This window comes from Homo sapiens, chromosome 4 (assembly GCF_000001405.40).
Source record: "Homo sapiens chromosome 4, GRCh38.p14 Primary Assembly".
Taxonomy (NCBI): domain Eukaryota; kingdom Metazoa; phylum Chordata; class Mammalia; order Primates; family Hominidae; genus Homo; species Homo sapiens.
Window position 1 is genome coordinate 125,388,464 of NC_000004.12, and position 26,100 is coordinate 125,414,563.

At 32.5% G+C, this 26,100-nt stretch overlaps 1 protein-coding gene across 6 annotated transcripts in view; it reads left to right on the forward strand.

Annotated features, from left to right (window-relative positions):
* The window catches only part of FAT4 (FAT atypical cadherin 4), a 177,978-nt gene that overhangs the window by 73,509 nt on the left and 78,369 nt on the right, over window positions 1–26,100 (forward strand). For all 6 annotated transcript variants that reach the window (NM_001438396.1, NM_001438397.1, NM_001291303.3 and 3 more), the window contains 3 exons: window positions 10,321–10,452; window positions 18,417–18,678; window positions 19,981–20,331. In NM_001438396.1, the coding sequence (NP_001425325.1) occupies window positions 10,321–10,452; window positions 18,417–18,678; window positions 19,981–20,331 (745 nt within the window). The remainder of the gene's footprint in view (window positions 1–10,320; window positions 10,453–18,416; window positions 18,679–19,980; window positions 20,332–26,100) is intronic.

A 26,100-nucleotide genomic window follows, 5' to 3' on the forward strand; every position in this document is an offset into this window, starting at 1 on the left:
TGATATGTGTCTACCACATTCAGATTAACATCTATTGAAAAATATACTACAGGACGCATTTGTAGGGTGTTTGTTTTGAAGAATAGTATAAAAATTTCCATAAGTTTCTTATGCAACCACACATATTTTAACTTGATGTTTTATTCTGCATTTACTTTTGAGCATCCTTAAGAATTTGTTAAAATGCAGAAATTATGCAGTATTGATTTCAGGAAAAATTGAAGTGGTTACACATGGTTGCCTTTGCCTTAAAATAAATCCTTATTTGGTTCTAACTTGAACAATATTGAAAGCACAACAAAACTAGCTTTTTATTATGTCACCACACATTTAGTGAGTTATGGAAAGCATTTTGTTTTAAGAATGGAGTTAACTATGTGTTATCCACGCTTCTAGCCATTCTTGTCACTCCTGGCTACTCTCCAAGCCTGCCTGTTATTCATACATATTTCTTCTTAGTAAGAAATGCATCAAAATCCCAGGAACATGTGCTGCTGACTGTTAGAAGAGTTTTAGTGGTGAGAGATTAATGTAATTACTTTTGTTTGAGAAATATAATTGGTCACAGTTATATACATGTAGCTTATATGAGAAGTACATTCAGTTTTAAAACTCATTATGATTAATTTTACTTTCCTTAAAAAATGAAACCAAAGAGAATCTAAAATGTGTATGCTTCTTTCATTCCTAATATTCCAGAATACTTAGATATTTTTATGTGAAGTAAATGCCCAGATATCTAAATAGATATAATATTATTTAAATTTAAGGTATAAACTTTTACATGACAAAATGCTTAATAGCCTATAATCTTAAAAACAGAATTATTCCAATTCCCATATTGTATGTTACTTCATCAAATATTACCATTATATCATGTTTCTTGTACTAAAGTGTTTCCTGTGAAATAACGTAATAAAATGGCCTTTAGTATGCATGATAATATTTAAATACGCATTTTCTAGTAAAATATAATGCTTATTCATTTTTTTCTTCTAGTTCTAAAGAAAAAAATGCACCAAATGCATACACTTACTTTATGATAATTTCTGAAACTTAAGTAGAGTTTGGGCCTGCAACAGACTTGTGTTTTCTAGTAGTTATGTTTCATTCATGCAGGTGGTAGTGGTCCTATTAGTTTTCCTTAATAAGTCCCATATAGCTCTGGCCAGTCTTTCATAGAATGAGTTGGTAGGTCTTTCCTCCAAAGTTTGATTTCTCCCATTTTTTTCACATTGCAATTTCAAACTTTCAGTAATACCATCAAGATGAGACAGTAAACTATTATTAGAGTTACCACAAGTTTGAACAAAGTTGATTATACATCGCAAACAAATAAATACTTAAAACCTTGTTCATAGAGATCAGGCCTTGCATACCTACATAGTCCAAACATTACATTCCTGACATTTAGAACATTTAAATGCAAACTGTTCTTTGTTAGGGCTTTCTCATAACTGAAATATGAGTCACTTGCAAACCATAATAGATTTTGGCTCTGCTACATGATGAAGTGTTCTGGATGTCGTGAAACATTTCACCCAGACTTATGGCAGTAGAATTCCCAGTGGTCACCCAAAATAGGGAAAAAAATGAAGAACAAACTTAAAGGAAATATGCAGACTCTGGCACCATCCTTTCGTGGCAATACAGCTCTTTATTGTTGTTAAGAAATGGAAATATTTAGAGCCTAAACCCATAAACTATAGTACAATTAGGCGTTGAATTTTTTTTTTGTTCCTAATTACGAAATTTAACTCTATACTTGATTCTCATGTTTAAGGTCAGGTCATAGAGTGTTTCTTTACACATCACCCTGATGCGGTCATACTGAGTTGTCTCCCAGCACTGAGCTTCTCACTGCATTGTGGGCAAACTCATATTCCACACTCTACACTCATCTCAGGCAGGAAAGGTGGAGTTTTCCTTTTCAGGGCCAAAGGAAGCAACAGCTGAGGCGTGATGGTTGTACTGATATTGGTGTGGGTTTCAATTTGGTTAGTTTGCTTTCAATTTCAACTCCTCACTTGAGATTCCATACAGAAAAGTAAATGGTAGGCTTCCAGCATCTTGTTTCACTCTGGTGAATAAAAATTGTTTTGAATGTAAGATTAGAGTTTTTCCTTGCTTAATTTTAGTAGTACCTACACAGCATAAACTGAGGCATCATTTAGCAAAATGTTATTGAGTTGACATCATAATGACCTATTAAGGGCAATACACATTTGAATGAGCTCAGTTATTCTTCCAGGTTTACACGTGCCTTTCATGGTGTTTAGTGTAGCAGCTTTTGAAGCAGAGATGGGCAATGTGTAGGACCTTTTATTCCAGTCTCCTAAGTGGGAGATATTCTGAACAAAACATATTAAGGATATTTTTTCTGAAGTTTTTGAAATTTTAAGTCATGATTCACTTTTCAAAAGAAGACATTTATGTGGCCAACAAACATGAAAAAAAGCTCAACATCACTGATAATCAGAGAGATGCAAATCAAAACCACATGGAGATACCATCTCATGCCAGTCAGAATGGCAATTATTAAAAAGTCAGGAAACAATAGATGCTTCTGAGGCTGTGGAGAAATAAGAACACTTTTACACTGTTGGGGGTAATGTAAGTAAGTTTGACCATTGTAGAAGACAATGGCAATTCCTCAAGGATCTAGAATCAGAAGTACCATTTGACCCAGCAATCCCATTACTGGGTATATACCCAAAGGAATATAAATCATTCTGCTATAAAGACATATGCACATGTATGTTTACTGCAGCTCTATTTACAATAGCAAAGAAATGGATCCAACCCAAATGCCCATCAATGATAGACTAGACAAAGAAAATGTGGTACATATACACCATGGAATACTATGCAGCCATAAAAAGGAATGAGATCATGTCCTTTTCAGGGAAATGGATGAAGCTGGAAGCCGTCATCCTCAGCAAACTAACACAGGAACAGAAAACCATATTCTGCATGCTCTCACTCATAAGTGGAAGTTGAACAATGAGAACACGTGGACACAGAGAAGGGAACAACACACACCAAGGCTTGTTGGGGGCAGTGGGAGGCAAGGGGAGGGAAGTTGGAGGTTGGTTCAATCAGTGCAGCAAACCACCATGGCACATGTATACCTATGCAACAAACCTACACATTCTGCCCATGTATCCTGTTTTTCTTTTTTAGAAGAAATGTTTTGTTTTAAAAGAAAAAAATAGTAAGTCATTATTATGAGTAGTTACTGAATTATCATAAAATATCATTTCATAACATAAAAATTATATATGATAGCATGTTCCCACACAAAAACTAGGAAATCAATAGGTTTGAATTGCTTTAAAATATCATTGTAATAGTGGATAACTTTGATTAATACATCTTTATATGCCAGTAGAATGCCTATGTTATTATTACATTTGCTGAATATGGGACTTTAATAAAAATGTAAAAATGACCTGGATTTGCTTAAAAACAGAAATATTTCTAGAGGAGAATTTACATGCTAGACATGGATAAGTTGTCAGAATGAGCAGGACACATTATTGCTCTTGGAATCTCAGAATATAGAAGTCTCTAATTTAAGTAATATAAATGATCTTCAGTATCCTGAAGATATTTGCAATTACCTATGTTGGTAATATATAAACTTAAATCAGAGCTACAAAATACTATTATTGAAATAAATATTTCTGACAAAACTGTTACTTGCTTGTATTTAAAAGCAATCTTGATGGCATTATCTTAATATCTTTAGAGATAACACTTGTGAACTCTAAACATTATTTTTAGTGCAAAGTTTGTCATAATTTATGTGGTTTAAGTGACAATATTACATGAGACAATTAATTTTGGAGTGTCAGTTCCACAAATCCAAAAAGTCAATAAAGTAAATAATTATTTTTGCCACTAAACAAAACAAAAAATTAAGCACTATTTGCCTTGATGCATCAGGTGTTACTATTTTATAGTTTGTACAGTTTCTGTCTATCCTGCCAACTATTTAAATGTAAGCCATTCTGAAAATGGGTATTTATATGTTGCATCTTTTAAGAAAAAGAAATAGCTTTTTGTATACGTTTTAATAGTAATCACTTTCACTGATATTTACAGAGAATTTAACTATAGTTTCTTTAGTTGTAATACATACCTATTGTCTTTCTGCTGAATGTCTGTTTTCCAGTGGCATTGATAAGACGAACTCTCACAGATTATTTTATCTTAATATAAATATAAAAGAACCTAAAAATAGGCAAGAAGTGAATAAAATGTTTTTTAAAGTAGCCCATCAAATATTATTTTCATCAGAAATTATTTTCTTGTTGACATAAAATGCATATTTTTTATGAAAGATCATTCTCTCTGTGCAAAGATCAGAGACATTGTGTCTTAGGCACATCATTCAGCTTGCTCCACAGCCCTGGCTGTCTCCACTACTCTGGAAAAATCAGTGCCCTCGAGTAGGAGGCTTAACATTGTTTTTCTTAGATAAATCACTTGACATTTCAGTGCCTTAATTTTGACTCTCTGTAAAATAACAGAAATGGAATGGAAATGGACTTGATGATATTTAACATTCCTACAAAAAGTATTAGTATGTTGACTTGCAAATGAATGGATTTCTGAACTTTCAGTGTACTACAAATCCTACGGTCTCCCAAAAGAAAACAAAAGATTGTTTTTCTTCTTTATTTGAGAACCATTTTATGTAGATTGCAGGAAGGTTGTGAATTAAAATATGTTTAGATTTTTTCATTCCGTTCATTAAGAAACATTTGATTTAAGCTGCAGAGAGGATATGCATTTAAGAATATGTTTAGAATTGTGGTTGAGGTGGCAACCACCATGCAATTATCAGTTTATTAACAGGGGAATGAACTCATAATGGACTTTGCTATTTTAGTCATTTCCTTTAACTTGAATATAATCTTCTACTTTCATAATATCAATTTAAATTGGGGAAATAGCATGTTTTATCATTAGATCCACAAATATATAATGGTTTGATATTAGCGATTGTTAGGTAATGATTGTTCCTTAGTTATGTAGTTGTATGCTGAAACATTTAAAAAATTAATCCCCATGTATAATAACATTCTTGATGTAGAGCAAAATAAAATGATAGACTGCATATTATAAAAAAAAGAGAAAAGCATTATATTATTTTATGCACTATTCCCACAGAAATATTTTTTAGTTTTAAAATATCCATTTGACCCTTCAGCAAGCTGAATACCAGGGATTTTATTCCTTCAGCATAAAGTAATTTGGTAACAATATTTAAAGGCATATTTCTAACTTAAATTTTACTTTTATAAAATTACCAAAAGACAGATCATTTGTGAACTAATTGGTTATTAGCTCCTTTAATCTCAGTCATGTGTTTGTCTCTAAATAAAATTATTTCATTTACCAGAGTTTTACTGCTCAGGGCTCAGGTGACTCAGTCAAGAAAGTCATTCTTGTGAAGCTACCTAAATGGTAACAACGGTAGTGGCAGTGGGTGATACCTTAGCTCAACCATTAGCTGCAGCTGAAGTGTTTATTGTAAGTCAAGCACAGATCTACCAACTACATTTCTTCTAATTGTAGCAGATGAAACCACACACATTTTTAAAGGACCAGATATCTAAGCACAAAGGTCAACATTTGGTAGGCATGCAGAAAACATGGAAGTGCCTTATCTTAACGGGATCATGAATCTTCATCTTTAAAGGGCAGTTTTTACAGATTTTCAGAATTGATACCTTAAGTTGTTCTGAACTTCAATTACAAAAGCTATTGCCAGATTGTGTTTTGTTTTTATTCAAAATGTAGCCACTCATGAAGAGAAACTTCTGAGTTTGAAATGTGATTTGTGTTTTTGCAAAATGTTTATTTGAATGCAATTTTACCTCCAGTCTAAACAAATGTAAAGATAAATGTAAAACACTAAGAGGGGCAATGCTGGCACTGAAAGCTTAACTATGTAGTAGTATTGGGTTTGTCCTTTAATTTTTACAACATATGCTTTTTTAGTTTAGAAATAATATTGTAGACTTTTAAGATCTCAGAATTTTAAGCTAAACCACTAATAACAACTGTCTTCATTATTTAAAGTGATCTAAATTGTATAGAAATAAAAGGGTTTTAAGAATTATAAAAATGTAGTTATTGTTTCCTGCTTTTTTCTCTAAACTTCTAATGTTCAATTCTTGTGTTTTATATAACGTTTTAAAATAAATCACACCAAACCTTAGTCTAAAGAAGGTATAGTAATGGTTGGTGTCAGATCTGAGAGTGAACCAAGCACATGTTAGGATTTAGAATCATCAAGATAAATAGTAACACCAATGGCAACAAGGAAGCAATTTAAAGACAAATTTCTGGAATCAAGATGTCAACAGTGTATTTTCCCAGGGATGACTGCTTCTGTTTGTAAATATTGCTATTAAAGTACATCACCTATTTTCTACAAGGGATGCTGACTTGTCTTATTTTCTTTTATATATTTTGGTGACTAATACATACTTGTTATGTGACAGATTCTAAAATATTCAATGAATAAATGTTAGATTTAGTGACCACATCACATGTAAATGGGTTCAGAATCTTGCAATTCTTGGTAGATAAAACCATGGCACTAAGGATCTGGATAAGTGAAGAAATGGCAGGATAACACTTATCTATGCTAATGAGTTCAGATCTTCTCTCCTAGATAATTAAAACCGCAGGCTACTGAGATAACTTTGCCAAACCATGCTGAAAGCTTTTCAGTTATATCTAAGGAACTGTGGAGTAGAGAAAAGGGAATGGGCAATTAAGGAAAAATATCTAGATTTTCAAGAAATGGAATATGAAGTTATTCACTTTTCTTTTTTATTCTTTTTTGAGACAGAGTCTCACTCTGTCGCTGAGGCTGGAGTGCAGTGATGCCATCTTGGCTCACTGCAACCTCTGCATCCTGGGTTCAAGCGATTCTCCTGTCTCAGCCTCCTGAGTAGCTGGGATTACAGGTGCACGCCACCACGCCCAACTAATTTTTGTATTTTCAGTAGTGATGGGGTTTTGCCATGTTGGCCAGGCTGGTATTGAACTCAGGCTTGTCCTGACCTCAGGTGATTCCCCTGCCTAGGCCTCCCAAAGCGTTGGGATTACAGGTGTGAACCACCGCGCCCGGCCATTATTCACTTTTAGAATGACAAGATGACACTAATTTTGGGAAAGAGGATAGCCTGATTTATTAAATAAATGACCTATGGAATTCTTACTAAAAATATAACTTTGCATATATCAGAATATAATGATGATGAAATGGTCTAGATCTGTATATACAACTGGTCTATATAGATTCATTCAAAAAGGTGTCGTTTTGAACTCAATAATATTTAACTAAATTTACTATCTCTACTAAAGCAAAAAGAAAGACTTTTCCGTATTTGAAATGACCAAAATCTCACAGAGCATACGGGATCACAGACTTCTAGAGCACTATGTAGTGATCCCCTAGTTTAGTTTTTTAAAAAATTTTGACAGAGAGAGATTGATTAATAGTTAGTTAGTTCTTATGTAAGTGATCCAGATTCCAGATGTGAATGAAATGCACATTTATGAAAATATATTTGTATAGCTGTAGCATATATTTTAAAAACATGATTCATTATGTTTTTTTAACACACACGCATGAGACTGTGTAAGTTTTCTTTACTGACTGATTAGCTCTGTGGCACTAGGTCGTTCCTTACCACTGGACTTTCATTAACTCACCTATCCAATGGGAGATAAAGTTCTTAGGTCATAGGGCTCTGCTGAGGTTTTTATATGTATATATGTGTGTGTAGGTGTGTATGTATCTACATACACATATAACCTAAAAAAATCAGGTATGTTTATTAGTTATTTTATTAAAACTATTAAAATATAGAATTGGCTTGCTGAATTCATGGACCCACCAGTTACACTGAGACATCTTTTAGGTATACTCAACTTGTTCCTAGTGTGTGACTCTGTTTCCTGATGTGCCTTTGATGGTCATATTTAATTGGTGTCAATCTAGACCTTCCTTACGCTCAATTTGATGTTCTTCCCTGCACATACACACTTACATGCACACATTTACACACACCCACACATACTTACATAAACACACGTACATTTTTTCACAAAGACATTTACAAAATCATACATGCACACGCATGCATGCGAGCACACATGCACACACACACACCCCTAGCATGCACAAGGGTGGCTTGTTGCTTTCCCAATAAAGTCATAAGATTACAGATGAAAGACAATTTAGAATTTTTTAAAATTCTATGAATCTAAAAGTTCAGAGTTGAATTATGATGCATTCAGTTACCTTTTATTTGTTATTTTTTCTTGTTTTAAGGACTATGCATATATATGCAAAAAATTTACGTGTATAAAGTGAAGATATTTAGTAATTTCTGAAGAACATTCATTACATATATGTATGTGTATGTGTGTGTGTATATATATATATATATATATATATATATATATATATATAAAATATGTATGTGTGTGTGTATTTCAAAGCTCTTCCCACATGAAAACTCAGTGTACATTCAGTATGTGCCAGTTGAACCTGTATGTGGGACTGGAATTCTGATTTTTAAAAATACCTTTTCTCAAAGCCTTTCTCTGGCTCTAAGAAGCTTCCAGATCTGTCCTAACAGCTTGAAAACCAAGATCTTGACTTTTTATAGAATACTTCACTCTGTGCCAGAAACTGTGTTAAGCATTTTCTTTACCTATATCATCAGGATTTAGTCTTCACAAAATACTCTAGGACACATATTATTATACTGATTTTAAAAGGATGGACTGAGGCTAAGAGAAATTAAGTGCCCGAGTTCATCTAGCTAATAAGTGTCAGACAGGAATTTGAAGTCTGGTCTCTCTAATTCTAAAACCCATGATATTTACAACCCTGCAAGGAAGTTGGAAATGCATCTTCCAGGCTGCAGTTGTAGTTATTGTGGGCATTTCCTTAAAGGAAATGGTGTCGAGAATGGTTGTTGCTAGCCAAAATCAGAAGTGTCAGATTTCTAACTGCTGAGACTTGCCTGTCTTCACCATTCTCTGGACTCATTTGAGCCATTTGTTTTATGATCCACTCTTCTACTAAAAGGTGGAACTAGAGGTATAACAATTATTTAGTACTTAATTTTATATATTGTTTTCTATTTTTATAAATTGCTCATTTATTTGTCTAGCTCTTGTATATTTCCCATTCATTCCTTTTCAGATAATGATGACAGTCCTACTTACTGCCTCTCCCCTTCCCACAGCTTCCATTCTTCCTGGGAAAGGAGAAATCAGAATTATTTTGCTCTCCCCACTTCCTTCAGATTCATCCTTATCACTCATCACTGATGGAGTTTTTACAGCATAATTATAAAAGATGACATTTTATCCTATGACAAACATGCCCTGGTTATATCCTAACTAAATGGATGGGTGGGTTTTTTAATTAAATGGATGACTTAATTTTGTGATCCAGCTGGGAAGATTTCAGTTTTATTAGCAGCTGTCTTTCCCCTTTTCTTACCAGAACTTGAGCTATTAGCACCTAACTCAAAAGAGAAAATACAGAGTTTGAAGTTATTATTTTATACTTCACAAATCCTTTCTTCTAAACATTTTTTCTTAGGTGAGGAAGCAAACAAATAACTCTGGCTAGGATCTTTTAAACAAAGCTGTTAATATTTGCAACCTATATCCACATGACATCTGAAAGAAATGATGGCTTAGCTTTAGTCACAAATAGAGAGTGCTGATACGAGTGGAAATAGAAAGAAAAGATGTATTTTTCTTCCCATTAAAGGTTGAGCGTGGACTTTAAAGGGGGAAATTCTGAGTGATTCTTAAAACAACATGTGAACTTTTTTATTTCCCCCAGACATTAGTTGCCAATATGTAAACATTTCAGCAAGAAATTTTATACCACCTCCTCTGTTTGTCAGGCAGCATTTAATGGTTGAATGACAGACAGTGCTGAGCCTTGGCAGTTCCATAGTGATGTGCAAATCTGGGGATTAAAATGACAGTTAATCAGTGGACCTTTTCTAGTATAAACTCCATGGCCACTATTTAAAATCAGTTACTTATCAACAAGGCAGACGATTTTTATTTCGACTTTATGTTTTCGTGTAAAGATTTCACAACTTTTCCCTAGGGGTAGTTTCTGTTGTTTGGATGTTAGATGCAAAGGTTCCAATTCATTTTGGCAGTCTTGATTGCGTGGATTCCTGGTAGTCATTTTAATTGGTATCTTGCAGACACGTGGGAGTCATTCACACATTGTTTCCTTTTTCTTTGTAGGTAGAAATAACACTTCAGGATATCAATGACAATCCACCAGTATTTCCAACGGACATGCTGGATCTCACGGTAGAGGAGAACATTGGAGATGGCTCTAAGATTATGCAGCTGACAGCCATGGATGCTGATGAGGTAGCTCAAGCATGTCTCTGAATTTGTGAAACTTCGTAGTGCAGTGATTTATCAAATTTCTAGGATATGTTGACTACTTTTATTACCCAATAATTAAGGTTAAGCATGTGTGCTCCTTTCCAAAGAACATTAATTCTTGAAATGTAACATAAAAATGTTAAAAAAGAGATTACTATCAAGAGGTAATTTTCCTCTGATCAGCAATCCACAACTCACTTGCTGCTTGCACTTTAGGTTACTTAGCCAAATTATTTTTTTTCTTTAATAATAAAAATATCTAAAGAGGTATCTCTATTTTATGCCATTATTATTCCCCTTTGCTATCTTATAGCAGCTAAGGATTGGTTTTTATTTTATTTGTAATTGTTAAAAGCAAATAATTTAAAACTACAGAATTTTAAGGTTTAGATTACTATTTTCTATATTTATATATTAAGTTCAGCTATGTAATTATTATGTTTCAAATGGCATGGAAACAAATACTTTGTGATTTGTATTTTTCTTATGAAAAAAACTCCATAGCTTATTTTCTCTTTACTGGGTAAGGAGTTTAACTAATGTTCTGGAGTTTAAGGAAGAGAAGTAACTTTCCAGACACCAGTATCTCCTTACCTCTTTCCCCTTAAGCCAAGCCGAACACAGAACAGAGAATTTAATTTTCTTCCTCTCATCTAAACTCAGAAATATCAGAAACTTGATTCCTGGCATATGAATCAGTGCTTTATAAATGTATTTCTGTAACCTTAAAAATTTAAATAAATAAATAATAAAATAATTTTAACTGCCAATACAGAAAGGTAATGACTTAGTCATTTATACATTTTGCCAAAATCTAACTATTACAAATGAACAAAATAAAGCATACACATTTAGGTAATTGCAATTTGCTATTAGAAAAGATACGATGTTTTATGTTTAGTACATTCTACTCAATTTTACAATGTGAAGTTCACACTTATTTCAAATTTAGCTAGCTTTAAAAGAGTTATCTGACTTAATATTTCTATTGTTGATAGATATGTGATATCATTAGCCATAATTCAGTAAATATTTCATTTTCTTAAAGTTTATCATTGATAATATACATTTTGATTTATCAATTCATAAAATTTCATTAACTCTTATTTGAAAGTAGCAGCAATAACAAAAAACTCATGTAATTGGCATAGGACAATTGACATCAAATAATTGAAATTGTAATGACTATTTCATTGGTTATACTCTAAGAATAGAGCAAATAAAACTCATTTATTTGAAGTGATTTATTCTAATCACTTTAAAAGAATGAAGTAATAATCATGTTAATTATAATAGATATTCTAATGGGATGGCTATTTACTCCATGGAATATTATAATTAGAGTGGGATTATTTAATAGGAATTACAGGAATCACAGGTAGAATTGCATTTGGAAATTTAGTTGTTTTAATCATCATACTGCTCTCTTAAGAAATGGTTATTTCAGAGATTCCAACACTCACCCCTTTTAATACTGTTCTCTTGATACTGTTATAATTTTATTTCCTTCCCAATATTTTCTCTTTAAGAATATTTCATGTAAGTATTAGTATAAATGCAATGCTGCCAGCATTCTTATTTTTCTCCATCTGACTTCCGTGTGTGTGTTTGTGTATGTGTGCACACACTTGCATTGCCTCCAAGTTCATCTTTTAAGCTATGTTTACCTTTATGATGAGACTAGAGGAAGCCTAGGAAGGTCCTTATACATCTAGGTATTTAGACCAACACTGGTTTTTGTGAATTTTTATTTTATTTCTACTGAGCTTTGTTTTTTAAGTTTAAAAAAAAATGTAAGTAACCTTGCAGATGTTATCACTTAGACATGCTAGTTAAGAAAAATACAGAATGTAAAGTGATGATAGCTAGGATATATAAGAAGTACTTTTGAGATGAGACAGAGTCGGGTATTAGGGCCAGAAAAGTATAAGGCTATAATGTTGGAATGAACAAGAGAATTGGAGGGAAGGCTGTTAGCAATTCAAGGGTAGAGAGGGATGCTGACAATATGTATGAGGTGTGACTGTGCCTGAAGGCATAAAAATCACCACATTCTTATAACTCGATTTGTTTGTGTGCGAGTGTAGAAAGGCAGAGAGGATGGAAGGGAGTAACTAGGTGCACCTACAACATTAAAGGAAAGGGGGGCATTTCAGGAAAACTACAACCATTGTTTTTTAAAGAAAAAGCTCACAAAGTTGTTTGTCTTCTTAAATGCATTTTTCTCTTAAACAATTTAATAACGTTTTAATAACTGCTGACTGACTATAACTCTTGACACGAGGAACTCACATGTCTTTGGTTTCATATTAAGTAGAATGGCTGCCTATGGCATTTAGAATTTTGGGCTGTTTTCTTTTTGTTGTTGTTTTTAGTTGCTTATAATAAATATTAATGCTTTTAGATAAACCTTTGTTTTATTTTCTACTTTATTCTCAGCTCCTTACCTCTTAGCCAAATTTTGGGGAAAATATTTTAAAAATTTTCTCTCTTTTCAAATCCTGGCTCTGTTTTCTTTCTTCATCTAGTTTGAGTAAGACTCGAGATTATGTAGGTCATCAGCCAATTGTGTAGATTTTTAAAAATTATTTATATACTTTTCATTAATTACTTTACCTAACATATAAGTGTTAGTATGCTATAGGAACTCTTGTAGGGCACTGTAGAACAAAGCCTGGGTAAAGGAATTACAATTTTATAAAACAACATGTACATGTTGAACTTAATTTAGATATCATTTGAAATGTGTTGGATCAAGATTTACATGTTTCAGAAGCACATGATTCCGTTTGTCTCTTGTTCCCTTTTATAAATTATGCTAGTAATGGGCTAGGATACTCAAACTTTGCTTCGTGGTACCATACATGTTTTTGAAAATACTATTTAAGGTTCTAATATGCATTTGAAATTTATAGCTATTTACTTTTAGAATTCCTTCTATGTGCTTTTGTCTCTGTGGTTCATCCGGAGAGCAGAATATTTTTAACCAGCATTATTTCCACTGCAGTGAAGCTGAAACATGATATTTGTTTCTTGTTTTGTTGCTGATATGGCATATTTTGAATATTTAGTAAATAGACTTTTCAAAAGACCTAATTAAATCATTACTCTTGGCCAGATATTTTCAGACATTCACTAATATTATGAATTCACCACATCAGCTGATTTTGAATATGAAAAAGATTGTTTTTTATCAACACAGCCTGATATGTTTACCTCTTTTCAGAAAAATTATTACAACTTTAGGAATATTATTATTTATTACAGCCCATTTGTAGACAGGGCATTTCTAAATATCAAACCATTTTTGTAATAGCATTAAATAGGTTTTTGTTTCTTTTCTTTACCTTAATTTCCAAGTACTTACTATTTTCATGGGTCTGAATTGAATGTAGCTACTTCCATACCTCACCCACTTTACTAAAATAATGGAATTCCTAGTGAAACAGAACAAATGTACAGAGTGTGGTCAGATGAGAATTCTCACATGCTTATTGAAAGTTTTTGTTAAACCATAAAATTACAATAAATACGTTAGATATTCAATGTACACCTGAATATACAAGGTAAATGTGGGTAATGTCTTAGACTCAGCTGTTCCATTATTAAATTTAAATGTGCTTTGAGGCATTCATTTTACTAAATGTTAAGACTGGCCTGAAGAATGCAGTACAAACTAACACTAAATATAGCGGGAATATTTTTGCTTTAGACTGTTAGAAATCATCTCCTTATATGTTTGACCATGAAGGAAAAAATGTATGTAAGCTATGATGGAAAAGATGTATGGAAACTGTGGATGCTGTAATCCCCCACTGTGTCAGCTTTACATGCCTATACACTCCAAACTTACCTTCTTCCTAATATTCTCATTGAGAGCTCTGTGTCTTTATATTTTAATAAATACATTCTTTGAGGTTAATTACAATAAATGGTATATTTGTTTTAGGTAAGTATATTAAATTAAAGAGTAATTTTTGAAGTCAACATTTCTAGCACTACTTATACCTAGTGTCAAGGTCAATAATAACATATAATAGGAAATCTGATACTGTATTTTCCCATGGATATATGGCAACTCTAGTTATATTTTGATTTAAATTATTCATTTGCAGAAGTCTAAGTCATCAAATAAATTTAAGCCATCATGTTTCTCTTATAAGAAAATAGTAAGAATAAGAATAAAATAACAACTATCATTTTCCTGTGCTTACTATCTGTCAAGGGTTGTTCTAGGTTTTTAAAATATATGTTCACTAAATTAACCTCCAAAACAATCCTTTTTGGCAGGTAATATTATCATCCCAGTGTACAGATGAGGAAACATGGGCTTGGAGAGGTTAAGTATGTGGTCCAATGCCACATGACTAATAAATGGAGCACAAATTCAACCACAAAATATGGCCCCAGAGCATCATATCTCAATCAGCACAGGGTATATTAAACGCAGTATTTTGATTGTAATATACAGAATTAAGAAATATCTCTCTTCCTTCTTCTTCTGCCGATCCTTGCTTCTCTTCTTTTTTCCCATTCCTTCACCATCATTCAGTCCTTATATGAGTGTTCCTATCTCTATCTATTCTAATTTAATTTCTGAACGACTCTTGTGGCTTCAACTGACACCCACATAAAATGACCCTCAGATATTTATTTTAAACCTCATTCCCAAATCTCTAATTGCCAGATAACCATTTCTATGATGCTATTCTTTAATCCCTAAATACACCGCAAATAAAATTTCACTTCCTATTTATCCTGCATCAAAGCAGGTCCTATTCTTGAAATGTCCTCAGTAAGAGTACTCTCTTAATTGCCAGCCAAAGTAACTTGAAATTTAAAAAGACTTTTTTTTCTTTTTTGCTTTTACTTTGCACATGGGGTTGTTAAAAAAGTGAGAATATATATGGAAATGTTGAGCAAATGAGAGAGCTATTAGTATTATTTCTATTTTCAATAATCTGTCAAATTTTACTAATTTGTCCCATGAATTGATTCAGAGCAAGACGGCCAGGATTCCAATCCCTTAATTTCTTTTAAAATGGGCATTCTAATAGTACTTACCTTGCTAGTTTGCCTTTAACAAATTAATTAGTGCCCTGGAATTGATGTGCTCAAGGTGGCGTTTAGCAGCTAGCAAACACTATGAATATTCTATTTTTCTCTCCGCCATCTCTCTAGTTCAGAATTTTGAGGGTCACAGCTCAAAGACCTGAGAGTACGTAGGAAATCACCCCCATTTTCATTTTCCAGAACAGGGACTTTCATTTTACAGAACTGTTTCAGCAACTTGGGGGAAATGAAGCCTCAGTCTCTTGGGCCCCAACTGTATTCACAATCTGCCTTCTCTGGCCTCTCCCTACACTAGTCCATACTGCAATATCAATATCCTTAAAAGATTGCTTCCAATTAAAACAATATTGGGGTTCCTTGGCTGTAGAATTGAGGCAAAGTTGTGTTATATTTGAAGTTCTCAAAAAATATACCGATACTCTAACATTTTAGCTTGACTTTCTTCTTTTGTTCTATATTAAAATTGTCCACTCTAACACACTGTTCAACAGTAAGCCAAGTCCATGAATAGTGAATGACTGTAAAATATTGTATTCATTTGATACGCTTTTATTTTTATTTTATTGTGATAAGAACATTAATGTGAGATCTGCCCTTTTAAAAGATTTCTAAATGTACAATACAGTATTGTTAACTATAGGCACGATGTTGTACAGTAGATCTAGAAATTATTCCTCTTGCATAAGTGAAGATGTATACCCATGGCTTATAAGCTCCTGATTTCTCCCTACTGTCTGTCCTGGAAAACCACCATTCTACTCCCTGCTTCTATGTGTTTGACCATTTTAGATACTTCATATATATAAATACCTACCAAGCAGCATTTGTCCTTCTGTGACTATCTAATATAACATCCTTAAGGCTCATCCATGTAGTCACATATGGCAGGATTTCGTTTTGTTTTTGAGCTGAATAATATTCCTTTGTATGTATATACAGGTTGAGTATTTCTTATCCGAAATACTTGGGACCAGAAGTGTCTCAAATTCCTTTTTTTTTTTTTTAAATTTTGGAAGTTGCATTATACATGCTGATTTAGCATCCCTAATCTGAAATGTCAAAATCTGAAATGTTCCAATAAGCATTTCCTTTGAACATCATATTGGCACTTGGAAATGTTTGGATTTTGGGGCATTTGGATTTTGGATTAGTTTTGATTAGGGATGCTAAACCTATATCACCTTTTTTTATCTATTCGTTTGTTAATGGCTATTTAGTTTGTTTCCAAATCATGACCATTGTGAAAAAAGGATTGCTGGATCATACGGTGATTCTATTTGTTATTTTTTTGAGGACCTCCATACTGTTTTTCCACAACAGCTGTATCATTTTGCATTCCCACCAACAGTGTACAAGGGTTCCAATTTCCCCACTTCTTCACCAACACTTGTTTTGGTTTATTTGTTATGATAGCCATGCCAACAGGTGTGAGGTGATTTCTCATTGTGGTTTTGATTTGCATTTCCCTGATGATTAGTGACACTGAGTATTTTTTATATACTTGTTGGCCTTTTTTTTTTTGAGACAAGAGTCTCGCTCTGTTACCTAGGCTACAGTACAGTGGTGCGATCTTGGCTCACTGCAAGCTCTGCCTCCCGAGTTCATGCCATTCTCCTGCATCAGCCTCCCGAGTAGCTGGGACTCCAGGCTACTGGCTAATGTTTTGAATTTTTTTTTAGTAGAGACGGGGTTTCACTATGTTGGCCAGGATGGTCTCGATCTCCTGACCTCATGATCCGCCCACCTTAGCCTCCCAAAGTGCTGGGATTACAGGTGTGAGCCACCACGCCTGGCCACTTGTTGGCCATTTTTATGTATTCTTTTAAAGAAACATCTATATAAGACCTTAACCATTTTTTTATTGGATTACCAAACTTAATAGCTATTATGTTGTAGGACTTATTTATATATTTTGAAAATTAACTTTCTATCAGATATACAGTTTGCAAATATTTTCTCACATCCCATAGATTGCCTTTTCATTTTCTCGACTGTTTACTGTAGAGAAACTTTAGTTTGATATACTTTCACTTGTCTGCTTTTGCTTATGTTGCTTGTTTTGGGAGTCATATACATGAAATAATTGCCCAGGCTGTCTTTTAGCAATTTTCAACTAGGAGTTCTATAGTTTCAGGTCTTAATTTTAAGTCTTTAATCCATTTTAAATTGATATTTGTGTATAATGTATATTTACATTCTTTTGCATATGGATATCCAGTTTTCCCAACACCCCTTGTTGAAGTGACTATCCTTTCCCCATTATATATCCTTGGCACCCTTATGGAATATCAATTGACTATCATGCATGGATTTATTTATAGGCGTTCTAGTCTGTTTGGTTTGTCTGTATGTGTGTCTTTATGCCAGCACAATACTTTATTCATTACTGTAACTTTGTAGTATATTTTAAAATCAGGAAGCACAATACCTCTAACTTTGTTTATCTTTCTCAAGATTGTTTTGGCTATTTAGGCTCCTTTGTGGTTTCGTATGAATTTTGGAATTGCTTTACCTATTTGTATAAAAAATGCTGTTAGGATTTTGATATAAATTGTATTGAATTTGTAAATTGCATAGATAACATGGACATTTTAACAATATTAAGTCTTCCAATGCATGAACTTGGGATGTCTTTCCATTTGTTTGTATCTTTGTTGATTTCTTTCAGCAATGTTTTGTAATTTGGGGCATACAAAGCTTTTACCGCCTTCGTTAGTTAGTAAGTTTATCTCTCATTACCTGTTTAAGTCTTATAATATCATATGAACTTAAAGCCAAAAAGCCTTCCTTTGTCAAATACATGTTCAAAAGAAAATATAAGGAGCAATGCTTTTCTACTTCCAATAGCTCAGATGCTTGGTCTCTTTTTTTAGGGTGCAAATGCTCTCGTCACATACACTATCATTAGTGGAGCTGATGATAGTTTTCGCATCGACCCAGAATCCGGAGATCTGATAGCAACCAGGCGGTTGGACAGGGAACGCCGCTCCAAATATTCACTGCTAGTTCGTGCTGATGATGGTCTTCAGTCCTCGGATATGAGAATTAATATCACTGTCAGTGATGTGAATGACCATACACCCAAATTTTCCAGACCCGTGTACTCTTTTGACATTCCTGAGGACACAATCCCTGGTAGGTGATGGGTCTCTTATGTGTATTTTGCAAGAATCGCTTTTGAACCAAAATTACATACTATGTTTCGGCTGCTCTTAATCAATGATTAGTTTTTAATCATATACTACTAGTTATAAAAATATATATGCTGGATTGTTGGATCTTTTCATTAACGATCTTTGGTAAAATTCTCAAGCAAATGGCTAAATTTTTTAGGATGAATGAGGTTAGCCATTTATGTGTCTGAAAGTATTTGTGACATGGGTTATTAATTTTCTGTCAATCACAGTTTTGGTACTCTTTCTGCTTTAAAAACGTCTAATGTGATTTGGGGGCTATGTATAAAAAGAACAGCAAAAAAAAAATACATGAAAAACTGTGAATATTGATTCTAACGCTCACTAGCTGTGTGACCAACGGCAAGTTAATTCATTTCTCTTAGTTTCAATTCTCTATCCTGTAAATGGAAACAGTAATTCCTGTTAGAGTTAAGGTAAAGGATAATTTAGAAAGTACATTGAGTTTGCTAACACAGGGCTTGGGTATTAGCAAATGCCCATTAAGTGTTATAAGAAACTGAATCTTTAATTATAATCTTGCTTCTTTGAACATATTATATTGTGATTTTTTTTAGTCTGAGTACTCAATATCCATGTTTCTGGTGTGTGTGTGTATGCTTCATTCCCATTATTGGAAATTTTTATGTAAAATTAAAATTTTATTCTGAATTACATTTGGAATGATTATTCATGATAAGCCATACATTTTAGAAACTCCATTTGGCAAAGGAATTAAACATCTACAGGAGACTCCTTCTACCTGAAGTTTTTTCTTCACTCCTCAAGATATCTTGTGCAAGTCCTTTATGGAAATCCCATCACACTTATTTCTTGACTTAGTTATTGCAATGACCACATAAGTTCTAGAGTAGTATCACCAGGGCATAAGTCTATATATTTTTTGGAATCCTCAGTTCCTGACACTAGCAATATGCTACCTTAAATGTTGATTGAATTCATCAGTATATTTATGGATAGGTACTGCTAGATGGAAACATAACATCAGATATATTATTAATTCCTCAGGAAATTTATGCTGAAACCTGAGGTCCACTGGATATCTGATATGTCACATACTGTATTCAAATAGGGAAATGGTAATATCAAAATCTGCAGAATGTTATGTTCACTGTATTTTCATAGCGGTTTTCAGTTAAGATATTTTACTGTACAAATACATTTTTTGGTCTCTTTCTATATGTTCTCTTAGTAATACTTCTTACTTCCTTGATTTTATACTATTAATTTATTCTTTTGATAGGTTCTTTGGTAGCAGCCATTTTAGCCACGGATGATGACTCTGGTGTGAATGGAGAAATTACATATATTGTGAATGAAGATGATGAAGATGGCATCTTTTTCCTGAATCCTATTACTGGGGTCTTTAATTTGACTCGATTATTAGATTATGAAGTACAGCAATATTATATCCTCACTGTTCGAGCAGAAGATGGTGGGGGACAATTTACTACCATCAGAGTTTATTTCAATATTCTAGATGTAAATGATAATCCACCTATTTTCAGCTTGAATTCATACAGCACATCTTTAATGGAGAATCTACCTGTGGGATCTACTGTTCTTGTGTTTAATGTTACTGATGCAGATGATGGTATGTATTTTATTTAATATAATTTTTAAAACATCTATAAACTGTCATCAGATTTATATTACATTTATTTATTGTGTTGAGCTGTCACAAAAATGCATTTTGTGAATATAGGTTGGAAGTTGAGGAATAGAATTATAACTGAACTGTAGAGGATTTTAAAAATTAAGTACTTTATCGGTTAAATTCTTATTTATAACAGAAAACATACCTTGTATTGTTTTATAAACTTTATCTTATTTTTCCCCCTAAATGTAGGGTCGTGTTTCAATTTAGCAATGTAGAAGTCATAAGACCACTTTTTTTTGTATAATTTTGTTAGATAAATAAAAATATTAGGTTTACATATGTTATTTTAACTTGAAAAGGATAGAATTTCAAAGCAAAATGAAACCAAAGACTTAAGTAAAAATACTTACGAATGCAAAAACTAAGTTTCACATTTTTGGCTGACAAATAGCTAATAATTTTTTTTTTTTTTTGAGACAGAGTTTCACTCTTGTTGCCCAGGCTGGAGTGCAATGATGCAATCTCAGCTCACTGCAACCTCCACCTCCCAGGTTCAAGCAATTCTCCTGCCTCAGCCTCCCGAGTAGCTAGGATTATAGGCATGCACCACCACGCCTGGCTAATTTTGTATTTTTAGTAGAGACGGGGTTTCTCCATGTTGGTCAGGCTAATCTCCAACTCCTGACCTCAGATGACCCGCCTGCCTTGGCCTCCCAAAGTACTGGGATTGCAGGCGTGAGCCACTGCACCCAGCCCAGCTAATAATATTTTAACTAGGTTTCATTTCAGCTCGAACAGTCTCAGATCTGTTTAATTTATGCTAATGATCAAGTTAAAATTTTGCATTAAATTTATACTTTACATGTGTTTGATTTGTATTTATTGCAAAAGCAATTGGCAAACTTTATTTTAATAGCTGACTCCTTTGGCCTTTCTTCTAACACCTGTTTTGTAAGTATACATATCATATAATATAGCATTAGAGAAAACATTGTATGGATTATCAACCTTTAACTGAATTGTCTGGAAAATTAGTACGTGTTTTTCCCTTATGTTGGATGCAACTAAATTGTCTCATCAATATATAAAACAAGGGACAGTACTTTGAAGAAGAAATAGGTCTCTATTGACAGGCATATCTATCTCAATTTAGAATTGCCTTATTCTTATGACTTGGATGATTTGTGAAATCTCAGAATACTATTCTATTTTAACATTCTATTCTATACTTACTTTCCTTCTCATAGTGTCTATAAATGGCACTTGGAACGATATGAGAAGCAAAAAGGACAGTATTTTATATATGTTTCAATAAGTAAAATGGGAAATACTTTCTTTAGAATTCATTGAGTAAGAGCATTTTGATGTTTCCTCCTCTAATTTAAGTGCAGTTAAAATTGGGCACAAAGATATATCTAAAATAGATACAGCTGTAATGCTAGTACTACTACTATTACTACTACTGTTGCTAGTAACAATACTTTAATGTTAACGATGTTAATAAGAATCTCAAGAACTGACATCTGCCAAGTGTTTTGCATGTACCCAGTCCTGGCCTAAGAACATTGCACACTCTATTTCATGTACCTCATCCCAGGTCTGTGGATTGGCTCCAGTTAGATATCTGTATATAATTGAGGTTAGTCCCTATTTTGGAGATTGGTTTATCTGCTATAACTTTTAGTTAGTCTACCTATTCCATAGATAAGAATATTTTCAAAGCTAATCATGTATTCTTATTTGTCCTGTGACTGTGCTCAACTTTTCTACAGAGAAGAATTTTCCACCATGTTTCTTTTTGATTTATTAGTTATGTATTAGAGAGAGCCCATTGTTTCATAGAATTGTATGTTTTCCTGGAATAAGTTTTATTTACCATCATAACTTAAAATATAGGGAAACTGCGAAGATACCAAAAAATTAAAAAGAAAAAGAAAAGAATTTTGTTTGTCAAAAACCTGCTGGAATATTCCATGCACATGTAAGCACAGAAATACATTGACCATTGTCTCTAAGTAAGTTTTTGTGATATTTTTTCTTTAATTGCATTGAGTAAAAGTTTCAAGCTATATTTATTCATTGTTTTAGTTTTGAATACGTTTATCAGTGTAATTTCCTGCACCTTGACATAAAATATATGACACAATTCCTATTCTTTCTGAATTTCAAGGACAGTGATAAGGCTATACAAAGGTAAGCTTGTTTGTAAAACTTTCCAGCTCAGTTACACAAAAGGGTCTCAAGTGTTTCACAGACAATATTAGTCAGACATTTTTTAAAAATAACAAATTAACAAATAAATCTCAATCACTGATCAGAAGGTTCCAATGAGGTAATATTGTCATCTTTTTAGATGAAGGAATTTTATATGAAAATAAATGTCACAATCTGTTATCTGTCTATGGATTCTGTCAGAGTTTAAAATTTAGCTTACATGATGATTTCATAAACATAAATCAGATCTTTTACTGTTTTCACAAGAAGGGTAATACCTCTGTTAGCATCAAGACTACTAAGCATGCGGTATTACATTGAGGAAATATCGGAGCATCACGGAAATATTCTGGCTTTGATGGTTATTTCGTTATCCTATAAATTATTTACACTTTAAATATTGGGAAGTCATATTAAAATGTTTTGCTAATAATACAATTGGAATTTTTGCTGAATAAATGTAGCTATATAATATTGGTGTACAATACAGACCATTGAGTTTCATATATTCCAGTGACCTGATGACCTTGTTGAAACTGCTTTATAAAGATGGGTGTTATTCAAAACACTTCTATGTGTTGCAGCTATGTGAAAAGTTGACAAATATTAGTTCTTTATAGAAATTAGAAGATAACATTTATAGATTGTGAGTAAATATACATATTTTATAGCATGAAACTATACACCTATACTTTTAAAATATATTTTACTATTTATATATATTTTTATATATTTATAATATATATTTTATGTGCTGTGCTTCTTAGAACAAAATTATTCATGAGACTGAAATACTATATATAGATATCTACATATCTATATATAGTGTGTGTGTATGTGTGTATATATATATATATATGACGAAACCATAAAACCATATGTATGCAATAAAACTGCCAGGAAGAGTCATGTAACTAAATGACTTGGAGAACATTGAACACAAATGGTTCACAGTGGGCTGTTTGAAGTTTAAAGATCTGGTGGGCCATTAAAGCCCACTAAATTTAAATTGCAACACTTATGGCTAAAGCTTAGAATTCAAAACAATGTAAAAATAATAATTTTACAATAATGTGTTTACTGTCTCATGGTTCAGATATTTGTTGAAAAAATAGAAAAAAATGGTCTGAGCTTAGTATTTTTCAGTATACTTCAAATATTCCGGGAGAAATTTGAGTTTTGCTATGTCTGCATGTATTTTTTAGATGTAGTGTATGTGGCCAAAGTCACTTTTTAGACTTGTCAGAAATGAAAAGTTATTTTCTTTACAGTAAAGTAAATGCAGATGGATTCCATGACCTGTAATTGCAGCAATTAATTTTCAGTTCCTGAGATGAGAGCTACTTCTTCTATAATATGGCAATATTTTATGTAAAAATAGTTATATTTTTTATTTGTTTCATCAACAATAATCTTCAGTTTATTTTTAATGTTGTTACTTAATATATTTGTCATTATGTATTTGAATATAAAAGCAAATTTTTCTTTTGTTATACTTTTAGTTAGCTTAAAATTTATTACTTCCCTTACCCATTCATCTACCAAACTTTTTGCCTTTATAAAAGAGGCTGTTCTGCTGTTTACAACAACGCTATAAAATTTTGGGATCGTGTTCTCTTTTTGCCTCTGCAATTTAGCTGTTTACTCAAGGAAGTAGCATACATGATGGACTAAGGATGATCAGATACTTGATTTAATTGCTCCCATTCCTGTTGATTTATGTAGAAATGTTAGGCCATGTAAAATGTCAGTATTTTTAATGTATTTTGATCTTAGATATGAAAGATTTTATATGCTTCTCTAGAATTAAATTTTATATCTTTGCTTGTTGGTATTTATTTTCATTCATGTGTTTTCATAACTGCATTTCTCAATAATAGTCATGTCCCCAAAAGAATGGGGATTCAATATTTACTGATGAACTTTTTTGTAGGAAATGCAGAAAATTTTCTTAAAAAGTAATTAAACGTAACTATATATGTAGATGTTAATAGAAACACACGTATACACATAATTAAAAATAAATTCTGTGTGTATATATAGATACTCAAATATGTATATGTTATAATGTTTGAGTAAATATATATACACACACAATATAATGTATATACGTATATTTACGTTGTAATGAAAGTCCTAAAAGCTTTATATATATATATGTGAAGATAGTGGAAATTTTTATCCTCTAAAGCCTGTGGAATTTTAAGACAAGGGGTTGAAATAAGCTGTTAACCTTGTTCTAGTCAGATTCTACAATTCTGTTTCTTTCCTGCGGGTGAATTGACCTCTGACACCTATTAGCTTTATTTATTCATATTTTTCCTGATCTTCAGACTCCTAAGTATTCTGAACTTTGTAATCTCTTCCTTGTTCACTTGTGAGTAGTCTTAAATAAACTATAAAGATTAAAAGTCACAACTCATAATGAGGGGGAAAAAATAAACTACGCTTTCAACGATTTACTCAATCATTGTTTATCCTAGAAATTTTTGTTAATAAGTCATTGTCTGAAAGTTATATTCATAAATATTTTTCCCATGTTTCAAATTAGGCAAAGGATATTAGAGACAGTAAAGTCACAGAATAAGAGTAAGTGTGGCGTTTTTAAAAACATTGAGTTCTACATGGTAGAAAAAAATCTCATACTCAAGTTAAATTTGACTTCTTAAAGAACTTGATGAAGTTCAAAAAAAGGCAAAAGTTAACTGAAGTATTGATAGAATAATGAGAAAGAATTTTTTTAAAGAAAAGAGTAAAAGGGTGATTAAATTGTTCTAGACGACTTTTGCCAAAAGTGAACATCACTTCTCATAGGTAGAATTCAGAAACCTGGATAGTTGAAATTAATGTTAGAAATATAGAAGCTAATTGTAGGTAATTCAGGTTAGTCAGTAGATATTTGCTAGTCCCAGAATATACATCTTTATTAAAGATAGATTACCTGGATGTACAGTACGTTTTTATCATAATATCCTGTAATTTTTCCAATGTCATTAGGATAAGATATAAAAATGCACATCGTTACAGGCCAGAGAAGAAAACATCACTCTGAGGCAGAAACTGACTTCTTTCTGTTTTCACTGCTTATTTGTTATTTACCTTTAGTTACTAAAACAGTAAGATGATGTATATGCTCCACATCATTTTTGTTATAAGACTCTCTGCAATCATTTTCTGAAGTGAGGATTTAGAAACAATTTTTAAACTAAAAAATGACACATGATCCTAAGAAAAATCAACAGTATCTAAATACAGTTCAATAATAGCATGAGCATTTATATTTGGAAAGTTTTATGTATAATTTTACTGCTAACAATTTCTTTAAAAATACTTTTTAGAAACTTTAAATATGTTTAATAAAATTTGAAAGAGAACTATTGTCTCAAAGGTCCATTACTTAGCTAGACACTTAATAGGAATTAATAAGTATTTATTGATTTTGACACGAAATATAGAAGTACACTTACAGCATTCATGACTAATGCCATACATCAGAACATTTTATTACCCTTTCTTGAAAATTGGTGTCAGCCTCCCTAAATTACTAAA